We start from the raw sequence: 12,240 nt of genomic DNA, 5'->3' as shown, positions 1-12,240 counted from the left end.
GCTCCCACATATTGATGAGAACTATCATTTCTCATACTAGCCACATTATAGTATTTGAGAGTCATCTTAAACATGCACAAATGTCAGCATTCATAGAAATCCTAAAGGTTTATATTTTAGATAAGTAAAACAATGTATGTAATAAAGTAAGTGTAACAACAGCTAAGTGCTACATTGACTGGCAAGAAACCAACCATAGATAAATCTGTTATTTTTGATAGAAGAACAGTGCATGGTCAAATTTAGTCTACTTGATACTTTGTTTCAACCTATTTAGTTCATCACATAAATCCTCCTCTCTCTGGATGGTAAATAATTTAGTTATCTTCTGACTTCTTTTATGGTAGCTTTTATAGTAATAATAAAGTACTAAGCTGATTCCTTATAAGTAAACTCATTTCTCATTACTTTCTGTAAAAAGATTATATTATTTTGTTTCCATATATGGTATAGTAAATGTGTCAAAGATAGAAGCAAAGTGTTAGAAATCCAGAGGAAGAACTAACAAATTTTAATAGTTTTCTATTTTTGTGTATATTAAGCAAGATAAAACAGACTTTTTACTGCGAACTGCGATACATGTAAGGCTAATGCGTGATTAAGAATGGCATAGGGAAGCATCTGTACCTGGTCTTGGCTTTCTTGTGACTTCATCTTCCTCAGCTCTGTCCTTCATATCTAGGATGCCTGGACATTAGCAGCAGTTAAGTCTTAGGAGCTAAAATCAAGTAGAAGTACTCTAAGGAGAATCCTGTAAGCGAAGCTAAGAAACCTGCTCTTACTTCCTTAGGTGGACTGGTTGTAGCATTCTAATAATCCTTATACCTAGGATGCTGTTGATCATCTCTTCAGCCATTTAAAGTCCTTTTTGCTTCTCTCTTAGTATTCTGAATCTTCCCCTGAGTACCAACCAGAACCCAGCCATAGATGGGGAAGGCAGAAGAAGACAAGAAGGGAGAATTAAGCTACAGTAGAAAGATCATAGGGTTCTGGAGTCAGACCTCAGTCCAAATCCTACTTCCGCCACTTCGGACAAGTGACTTAATCAGTCTTCAGAGTGAACATGAAGTATCTAATAAAGGGTCTGAACATAGTGATACGGTTTTTTTTTTTACTTAATATTACTTCCCTCTTCTCTCAGTCATTTTCACTATGTAAATAGTAGAGCATTCTTTAGTCTCTGCCACTGATCTACCTTACCACAACTAGTCTGCTGAACCTCAAAAATTAAATGGATCTAAGCGGGGTGTGGTGGTTGCACCTGTAGCACCAGCTACTTAGGAGGCAGAGGCAGGAGGATCACTTGTCCAGGATTTTGGGGCTGTAAAGTGCCGTTTGTGCTTGTTAATAGCCACTGCACTCCAGCCTGGGCAATATAGCAAGACCCCATCTCTGAAAAAAAAACAGATCTATATTAAAGATCTGCAAACTTTTCCCGTAAAGAATCAGATAGTAAATATTTTAAGATTCGCTGGCCCTACAGTCTGTGTCATCACTACTCAACTCTCTTGGTGAAGGGCAAAAGCAGCTGTGGAATGATATGCAGACCAATGAGTGTGGCTATGTTCCAATATAATTATTTAGAAAAACAGGTGGTGGGCTAGATTTGGCCCCACACTATAGTTTAACCTCTAATCTTTGTCTTTAACCATTAAAGGTAGTTCCATTTTGAGATTTCATAGTCAAAATACAGCCCCCTTAAAAAAAATAAACTAACTGAAAAAGACCTCATTATGAGTTGGACAGTGAATGGAGTTACAAGATGATGTTTCCCAAAATTGATGACATATATTGTGGAGGAGAATGGTACTATAAATTAAAGATCAGGTCCCACCAAACATTTAAAGAACTCACATGAACAGTGGTCAAAAGCCGGGTGTGGTGGCTCACGCCTGTAATCCCAGTACTTTGGGAGGCTGAGGCAGGTGGTTCACTTGAGTCCAGGAGTTGGAGACCAGCCTGGCCAACACAGTGAAATCCTGTCTCTACTGAAAATTAGCTGGGCGTGGTGGTGCATGCCTGTAATCCAAGCTACTTGGGAGGCTGAGGCAGGTGAATCACTTGAGCCCAGGAAGCAGAGGTTGCAGTGAGCTGAGATCACACCACTGCACTCCAGCAGGGGCAACAGAGCAAGACTGTCTCAAAAAAAAAGAAAAAGGTCAAATGACTAATTAAGAAATGTTGAATTCTGTATTATTAATTTGGAAGATCATAATGGATTTTGGCATACATAAAATCTGTGAGGATTCTTCTGTAAAGACGTTGTTCAGCATAGCTTATCCCTGCCTCTGTGCATATCCCAAAATTATTTAATCACAGAACTCCTCACATAACACTTAATGATATTGCTGGAACTGCTTTTCAGAGAACAGTATTCTGAAACTAGTTTAAATAGAGAAATTAAGAAATTAAGAAAGGGAATTTAAGAAAGAGACTTTCACTGACTTGTAAGGATTATGCAGGTACTTGGTAACAGTTCTGGAAGCAGTACTTGAATCTCTTGTACAGATTGTACTTTTTAAAAAAAAAGTCCTTTTGCTCTTAGCTTTATTTAAAAAAAAAAAACAACCATTATTTGGAAGTAATTTTACTTACAGAAAAGTTGCAAGAAGGGGAGTAGTAAGTACATAGAGCATTCTCTACCCTTTACCCAGACGTGTTAACACTTTGCCCTATTTGCTTTATTCTCTTTCTCATATGTACACACATATGTTTTTCCCAAACCATTTAAGTTGCCTACATCGTGGCACTTTACCCCTAAATAGTTTCATGGATGTCGGCTGGGCACGGTGGCTCACACCTGTAATCCCAGCACTTTGGGAGGCCAAGGTGGGCAGATAACCTGAGGTCAGGAGTTCGAGACCAGCCTGGCCAAAATGGTGAAACTCTGTCTCTACTAAAAATACAAAAAAATTAGCCAGGTTTGGTGGTATGCGCCTGTAAACCCCAACTACTCGGGAGCTGAGGCAGGAGAGTCGCTTGAACCCAGGAGGTGGGGGTTGCAGTGAGCCGAGATTGCGCCACTGCACTTCCAGCCCAGGTGACAGAGCAAGACTCTGTCTCAAAGAAAAAAATATACATCTTTTCATAGATGTTTTCATCTTTTATGACGTAGACATTTTTGAAGAATACAGTTTTGACTTTTTTTAATAGAGTGACCCCATTTTAGGTTTGTCTGATGTTTTCTCATATTGAAGTTTTGCATTTCCAGCTGAAATGTCACATAAGGGATATCGTGTCCCCATGACATCACATCTGGAGGCACACAGATGCATCTGCACCTCACTGGTAATGGTAATTTTCACCATCTGGTGAAAGTATGGTCCAGTTTCTCCACAGTATAGTTACTATATTTCCCTTACAACAAATAAGCAATCTGTGGGGAATCTACATCCTTCTTGTTACTTTCTTATCTTCTGCCACTTCCAGTATGTGTGAGGCAGGTTGTTCAGGGGTCATGGAATCTCTATCAAGAATTTTTTTCCAGATTCTGACTTGCTCAGTTTTCAACTTTGTAAAGACTTCAGTTGAATCTTTATGGAGATAGGCATTTTTAAGTCACTTCTGCCTGTTTTTTATGTTACCATAGTATTACATAATCATTGTGGAAGACTTTCCAAAAGCGGGGTAGACATCCTAGTAGAATTATAAAGAAGGGAGAAGAGTTATAGATGGAGTTAGAGGCAGGGAACAGTACATATAGATGTTACTAGAAAGTTCTATTAGATGCTTATTCTAGGTGGATTAGGAAATTCAGGGGAGAAAGTGGTCAGGTGTTGAACTGGAGGAATTAGCTAGAGCTAGGTCATGAGGACCTGTTTCCCAAGGCAAGTTTGAATTTCACCAGGGAGGCAAATAAAGACCCAAAGATGAAGTGTGAGAGTTGACTTGGTCAAACTCTTAGAAAGACCAGTGGAGAGTAATGTAATACTAGAGGTTAGAAGGCCACTTGCTGCACGAACTGTGGCCGTGGGATGGAGAGTATTGAGTAATTTCTAGTCATAAAACCAATGAGAAATCTGTGCCTGATTTGGAAATGGGGAAATAAGAAGCAAAAGGGAGCTGGAAACATTGAGGCTTCTGACTTGGGTGACTGGATAGATGACAGTGAAACTTGCTGACGTAGGTCAGGAGGAGGAACAGATTTGGAGAGTCATGGAGCAGGGGTGTCGATGTTATGTGAGAGATGTCTGTGGAACATATAGTAAGGTCTTTATATACATGTCTAGAGTTCAGAATTCTGAGCTAGAAGTTAAGATTTAGAATAATCACCAGCATCCAAATGGTAGTTGAAGCCATGATACTGGATGAAATTGCAAGGGTGCGTATATACAAGGGCTAAGGACTAAGCAGTGGGACAGATTTAGTTTGTGTTATTGATTATATAAGCACTTTTAGACAGATTTAAATTAGTTCATTGCTGCTGCTGTAGGGCATTTTAGAAAAAAACAGACACATTTGTATCTGTATTTTACTGCTCTCGGGGCTGTTTTGGAGGCATAGAAATCATCAGCATAAAGATTACAACAAAAAATAACAGTTTGGGAGAGCCTTTTAAAATTTAATTTTGGGGAAATGATTCAATTAGATTGCGGCTTTTCTAAGCGTAGAAAGAGACTCTAATTTTATTCCCTTCCCGCTTACATTGTCACACATCACACTGGGCATGTAGGCTCTTAATATGTACAGCATAAACGACCTAAGCCTAAACGGATGCTAGGGGTACAAATAAGGACATGAGAGGACAGAATCAGAATGAAACTTCATGTCTGGGCCACCTGTTATTGTGCTACTCAGTCACTTGACTTTACATCCTGTTGATTTTATAAGGAAAGTAGTAAATTGGCAAATGTTTCACACTGAAGAGAAATAACAGAACTGGACTATTTTATCTGTAAAGGTCTTCCTTTTTGTATTCTAGAAATTGATTACTGAGCTTTAAGCAAGAGGATAGGTAGAGAGTAATAACCTTGTATCATTTATTTCTTGTGAAATATAATAGATATTAAATTGCTCTTTTCCTTGCCAGATACTATCTGTCCTTAAACTATTACCACAAGTATTTCAGATACAAAAGTAAAATGTGTTCATTTTAATTTTTTCTTTTCTTTTTTTGAGACAGAGTCTTGCTCTGTCACCCAGGCTGGAGTGCAGTGGCACGATCTTGGCTCACTACAACCTCCACCTCCCAGGCTCAAGCAAGTCTCCTTCCTCAGCCTCCCAAGTAGTTGGGATTACAGCCATGTGCCACCACACCCGGCTAATTTTTTTATTTTTAGTAGAGACAGGGTTTCCCTATGTTGGTCAGGCTGATCTCGAACTCCTGACCTCAAGTGATCCACCTGCCTCAGCATCCCAAAGTGCTGGGATTACAGGTTTAATTTTTTCTTTGCTTTTATGAAATGTTATCTTTGTTTCTTTATGAAATCTATTCCAAATGGTAATAGTTTGTGGACCTTAAATAACTGGTATAATTCATTGGCTCATTTATTTATTAAATAAGTATTTATTGGATACTTACATGCTTTAGGCGTGATTGTAGACCTGGGATAAAGCAAAGCAAAAAAATCTCACTCCTACCTTCAAGGATCTTATATTCTGGTGAGAAGAAACTGTCAAGTGGTCTATAAGGAAGTCACAAGTGCTAGGGAAAAATAAAACAGAGTTGGGGAACACAGTGTTCTGGGGTTCAGCAAGATTTTACAGTGAACATTTTCAAACATTCAGTAAAAGTTTTAACAATTTACAATGAGAATTTACCCATAATATACCACTAGCTAGATTCTTCCATGTTATTATTTATTTTATCACCCATGTATTCATCTCTCCATTCATCTTATTTTTTAAAGGCATTTAAAGTAAATTACACATGAGTGCATGTTTTCCTAAATACTTCAGTATGCATATCATTCATTAGAGTTCACTATTTGTTTACTGTTGCTTTCATTTGAGTCAAAATTGACATGCAGTGAGATTCACAAATAGTGGATATTGGCTAAATTTTGTCATATTCATATATTTACATAACTCAGCCCCCCATCAAGATAGAGAACATTACCATCATTCCAGAAAACTCTTTCATTCCCCTTCTCGGTCCCTGCCTCCACTTCCCAGAGGGAACTACTGTTATGATATTTTTTTCTGTCATAGATTATTTTTGCCAGTTGAGAACTTCATTGATGTACTTTGTGCGAAGCTATTTTTACTCCCTATGGTGTTTTTGAGATTTACCCATGTTGTTGCATGTATAAATAGTTTATTCCTTTTTATTGCTGAGTAGTAGTCTGCTGTATGGCTTTACCACAGTTTGTTCATCTGTCCTATTTTGGTGGACATTTGAGTGGCTTCCAGTTTGGGCCCATTATGAATAAAGCTCTTTGAACATTCTTACTCACGTCTTTCTGTGGACTTGTGTTTTCCTTTCTCTTGAGTAAATTCTTAGGAGCAGACTTGCCGGGCTATGGATTGTGTGTGTTTGGTCTTACAGTATCTATCGGCCTTTCCTCACTAACCATGTATGAGAGTTCTAGTTATTCCATATCCTCCCCATCATGTGATGTTGTTAGCCTTTTCTATTTTAGCCATTCTGCTGGGCATATAGTGGGATAACTGGTAAGGAATGATCTGATCAGTCTGGGAAGATGACATTGAAACAAAAACTTGAGGTGAGGGAGCAGGCTGATTCTTACAAGATTGACAAACAGTAAGGAATCCAGTATGACTATAGCAGAGTGAGTGAAAAGGGGAATAGTTAACAGTACCAGAGAGGTAACAAGGAAAGGGGAGTGCAAATCATGTTGGACCTTGGAAGCAATTTTAAGGACTTTGGGATTTATTTTGAGTGAGATGGGAAATAAGTGTAAGATTTTGAATGGAAGAATGACATGACCTGACTTGTATATTAACAGGATTGCTTTCACTGTTCCATGAAGAACAGATGAAGGTGCAGGCAGGGAACCAGTTAGAGGCGATTATAACGAGTCAGGGAAGAGTTGGGCGTTTGGATGTAGAAAAACTAGGTGGTATTTGCTGGAGCAGTGTTCCTCCATAGAGTTACTTGTTTGGGTTCTTAGAAATGTCATTTGAAAGTAGTAGAGAAAATAATTCAGCTCAGGCCTTTTGTTCAACTAGCAATGGAGTCTCCCTCTACATGCATAAATATTCAGGGATTTAAACTTCTTAAGTAGCTTCTTACATAATTAGTCATCACTTATTTACACATATGGAATTTTGTATGATATTGTTGCTTTTAATAAGCTGTTTTTAATTCAGTAACCAAAAAGGTCTAAAGGTAGCCTTAATTGTTATGTCTAAGTGGTATGATCATTATTTGCTTAAATAAAAATTTAATGAATAAATGAATATAATTTAATCTTTGTTTAGGAATCTGCATAATATAACCTTGAATAGCTCTTTTTAGATTGGTAATGTTTATTATAATTTATTATAGAGCAAGTAGAAATGTCTTTTTTCATGTGTTTTATTTAGGTTGATCCTTTTCATCTTTTGACAATGGTATTTTATAAAATACTGAGCGCCTACAGTAAGCCAAAATATTATACCAGGCAATGAGTCCATTACAAAGACAATATTATTTAGTCCTCAACCTTAAAAGATTTACAGTCCCCAAATAGTACATGAGAATACATCTTTTGAAGGAAAAGATGCAAAGGCAAATTAGACATCGTCTCTACTCTTAAAGAGCTCACATTTTGGAGATCAGTATGTAAACATAAATAGTGATAGCACAATGCCCTAAGTATAAAATTTAGTATTGCAGAATCACAGATGAGAGAGAAATTCTTCCTAGGAGAAGTAGAGAAAAGATCATTTTGAACCCGACTTTGAAGATCAAGTGGGAATTTCCAATGGTGGGGTGAGAGCATGAGGAATGGCGATAGCAGCAAAGATACCCACCCATGTGAACAGAGGATCAGAGCAGATGTTTATGACACATTAGCAAAACCTATGCCTCCAGATAGGCTTTATCTACAGATAGTTAATGTCACTCTTATTTAATAAAAAATATTTCTGGCTTCTTAACATTAGTGATATGGCCTGTTTAGAGCAGGCTTACCCTTTTGTGTTAGCTAACCATGCATTTAACAGAGACCATAGAAAGCCACCTGAAAAGGCAATGTTTTTCATGGTGTAAGCAAAAGTAATAAAGAGAAAAGGGAGCATTTCCTGCTGGAGAGAAGAGAGGGAGATGGGTAAGGAAAATATATTTTGCAAATAATAAAAATACATAGCAGGGTGACTTGCTGGACTTGGAGTCAGATGTTGAAGCTAAAATTCACACTTGGGTCTCTAAAACCTGGCACTCTTCTATTGCACTAGGCAGGCTGAAGTAACAAAAGTGAATACTTTTGGAGCTGGGTGCCATGATAGCAAAGCTCATGACATGAAAGTGTGCCTCTGAACTTTCTAAAGATTGTTGTTCAGTGTTTTCTCATCCTCTTTTTATTGTTCATATTGCTATGTATAGAAAACTTATCTATAATTACTTTCAGCCCAAGAGGCTTTTAAGCTATTTGCTTAATTATAAGCTATGGTTCATCTGATTCCAATTCCATTTTTGTAAGATTGCATATTAAATATTTCTTTAAATTATTTAACTTTATTTCCTTTGTTCACTTTAAAATCAGGCTGATTTGAGAGTTTATGCCTCTGTACAATGAAAAATTGGAATTGATCTTGGTGTTACAGCAATTAATTGTGAAATCACAGCTGAACCTAATTATCGTAAATATTTTATAATTAAAGAAATTTTACCCATCCAGCATGTTATAAATAGTAAGTGGTCTTCAAACATAGCTATTCCCTCTATTCCCTCTTCTCTTTTTATTTTTATTTATTTATTTTTTTTTGGAGACAGAGTCTCGCTGTGTCGCCCAGGCTGGAGTGCAGTGGCGCGATCTCAGCTCACTGCAGCCTCCGCCTCCCAGGTTCAAGCGATTCTCCTGCCTTAGCCTTCAGAGTAGCTGAGATTACAGGCACCCGCCACCACGCCCAGCTAATTTTTGTATTTTTAGTAGAGGCGGTGTTTCACCATATTGGCCAGGCTGGTCTCAAACTCCTCAGGTGACTCTCTTGCCTTGGCCTCCCAAAATGCTGGGATTACAGGCGTGAGCCACCGCGCCCAGCCTGTTCCTTCTTCTTAAAACAATCTTTGACTTAACTCCAATTCCTGCAGATATTAGCTTAAATGTCACTTTCTCCACTGATAAAGCGATAGTCTCAGAAATGTTTCCTGTTTATATTTCTCTAAACATATTGTACTTTTCCTTCATAGTACTTTATTACACTGTACAATTTATTTTTAGATTTCATTAGTATCTGTCCTTCCTGTTAGAGTGTAACCTCTGCAGTGTCATGTAGAGCATGTCTCTCTTATTTGCCATTGTGTCCCAGTGCCAGGCACATAATGGTTAGCACTCAGTAAATTTAGACTAAGTTAATTAATGAACAGAATTAAGTCTGGATGTTCTGCCCTGTATCTCTGGTTTTTGTTTTATACCAGCATTTCCCAAACTGTATTTCAAAAGTTTTCTATCAATGATTAGTGGATAATTTCTGAAAAAAATGATTCCATTGTCATTGGTTCGGAATGGCTGTATCCTCCTTTAAGAACTACAGTTTACATTACCATGCTCTCAGAAGTCCTTAAAAAAAAAAAATCTAAGTTTCAAACCCAGCCTTCTGTACACTTAAATTATCAAACTTCTCATTAGACTACCTATTAATAATTTGAAAGTAGTACTTCAGTGAAACAGCTTGGAATATCATTGTAATTTACACTTGTATAATCTCAGATATTTAGTCAAGTCATTAGATATCTGTTGAATGAAACACAGAACTCATTTCCTAATTTATTTTGTTTCTTGTCTTTACCATTTTGCATCTTCTTCCTACTGAAAGCAAAAAAAAATCCCACTTTTTCTTATTTAATGTTATTTTATGAAAATAGTGTATATAGCTTTGAGTTTTAAAAATGTTTTTTAAAACTGTGTGTGCGTGCACATGTATGTGTACATGCACATATACATACACACATAACATTTAAGCACTCCGCTTTGTTCCAAACACTATTTTAGGGTGGTGATAACAGCAGTGGACAAAATAGACAAATCCCTTCTCTTATGTTGCTTAGATTGGGGGTGCAGGTGTAGGGAGAGATGGTTAACGGTAGTAAATAAACCAACTATATGGCCTTTCAGAGGATGGTACATGCTATGAAAAAATAAAGGTAGGGGATAAAGGAATATAGGGATGATTGAGATATATATCTATACTTTAGATTGTTTTCTGTATAGATAGGCTCAGTTGTGTCTTTTTCTTTAAAAGTATTTAAATATCTTGAACTTACAATTTTCAGATGTCTCTCTAATTGATGGTTTGTGCATGTCATTAAATGTCATTCAGAAATATTTAAGGGCTACGTATATTCTGTTTTATAAAGTGTGGTCCATTTACTACATAGCAGCCAAGGTGCTCTTGTAAAACCCTGCAGCCGCTATTGCTCGTAGAAAAAGGACAGATCCTTGACACGACCCCTAAGACTCTGCATGATCTGGCGCTTGACTCCTTGTACATAAGAATTTGTCACTCACCACCTCACTCACTGTGCTTCAGCCTCACTGGCCTTCTCTGTGTGGTCTCCTCGTCTCAGGCTCCTGGTGTACACAGCAATCCCCCATCATCCATGGTTTTGCTTTCTGCAGGTTCAGTCACCTACAGTCCAACTGCAGTCTGAAAATATTAAGTGGAAAATTCTAGAAATGATTTCTAAGTTAAAATGAGTTTTTAAAAACGTTTTAAATTAGTTTTCAGTAGTAGTCTAACACTACATCACAGTGCCTACCTTATTCACCTCACTTCATCACATCATGGAGGCATTTTCTCACATCACAATAAGGGTGAATGCGGTATATTTTGAGAAAGAGACTAGAGTCACATAACCTGTCACAGTATATTGTTATATTTGTTCTATTATTGTTACTTATTGTGCCTAATTCGTAAATTAAGCTTTATCATAGGTATGTACGTATAGGAAAAATATAGCATACACAGGGTTCAATAGTGGTTTCAGCCATCCACTGAGATTGTCTTGAAATGTATCCCCTGTGGATAAGGGAGAACTGCTGTACTTGGGGAGGGAGTAAATATGAATAGTAGAAGGTAATGATTATTTCAGCTGTTGAGGAAGGAAGGTTTTTGTTGTTTTTTTTTTAAGCCTTAGAAGAACCTAACCATATTTGTTTTACATTATATACATCCCTGACCTGTAGTGCCCTCTTCTTTATCCAACTTTTTATTATAAAATTTTTCAAATGTATAGAAAAGTTGAAAGAGTAATACAGTGGCCATCTATATACCTTCAACCCAGATTCTGCAATATTTTGTAGTATTTTCTCTTGTTCTTTTTTGTTTTTTTTTTTTTTGAGACGGAGTCTCGCTCTGTCGCCCAGGCTGGAGTGCAGCGGTGCAATCTCGGCTCACTGCAAGTTCCGCCTCCTGGGTTCATGCCATTCTCCTGCCTCAGCCTCCCTAGTAGCTGGGACTACAGGCGCCCACCACCACACCCGGCTAATTTTTTTTTGTATTTTTAGTAGAGACAGGGTTTCACCGTGTTAGCCAGGATGGTCTCGATCTCCTGACCTCGTGATCCGCCCGCCTTGGCCTCCCAAAGTGCTGGGATTACAGGCGTGAGCCACCGTGCCCAGCTGGTTTTTTTCCTGTTCTTTAAATCTTGTTTTCTGAACCATTTGAAAGTATGTTGCATATATCATGACACTTCACCCCAAATGCCATTTATAAAATGGAGATTGTTTTCTTGACTGTTAAAGATAAGAGGTAATTATGTGAATTTTTTTTTCTTTTGAGACAGAGTCTTGCTCTGTTGCCCAGGTTGGAGTGCAGTGGCGTGATCTCCGCTTACTGCAGCCTCTGTCTCCCGGGTTCAAACAATTCTCCTGCTTCAGCCTCCCGAGTAGCTGGGATTACAGGCACCTGCCACCATGCCTGGCTAATTTTTGTATTTTTAATACAGACAGGGTTTTACCATGTTAGCCAGGCTGGTCTTGAACTCCTGACCTCAGGTAAGCCACCACGTCTGGCCTGTGTGAAATATTTTGTACAAGAAAACTACAAATAAGATTTTTTAAAGCAGTGAGTGTTCACTATAATATTGATACACAAAATTTTGGTTTCACAGTTACGAAAAGTGGATATAACATA

The 12,240-nt window shown here is 37.8% G+C and overlaps 1 protein-coding gene across 13 annotated transcripts in view, besides 1 other annotated feature; it reads left to right on the top strand.

Annotated features, from left to right (window-relative positions):
- EPC1 (enhancer of polycomb 1) overlaps positions 1 to 12,240 on the top strand; it is a 111,019-nt gene that overhangs the window by 56,013 nt on the left and 42,766 nt on the right. The window lies entirely within an intron of this gene.
- Positions 4,879 to 4,938: an enhancer, noted in NCBI's record as "active region_3245". NCBI's record gives its function as "activates an Ori minimal core promoter by ATAC-STARR-seq in GM12878 lymphoblastoid cells {active_cell/tissue: GM12878}" and the evidence as "EXISTENCE:reporter gene assay evidence [ECO:0000049][PMID:35858748]".

The sequence above is a fragment of the Homo sapiens genome, chromosome 10 (genome assembly GCF_000001405.40).
Source record: "Homo sapiens chromosome 10, GRCh38.p14 Primary Assembly".
Classification (NCBI taxonomy): Eukaryota; Metazoa; Chordata; class Mammalia; order Primates; family Hominidae; genus Homo; species Homo sapiens.
Note: the sequence above shows the minus strand (reverse complement) of the source record. Positions and strands in the feature narration are given on the sequence as shown.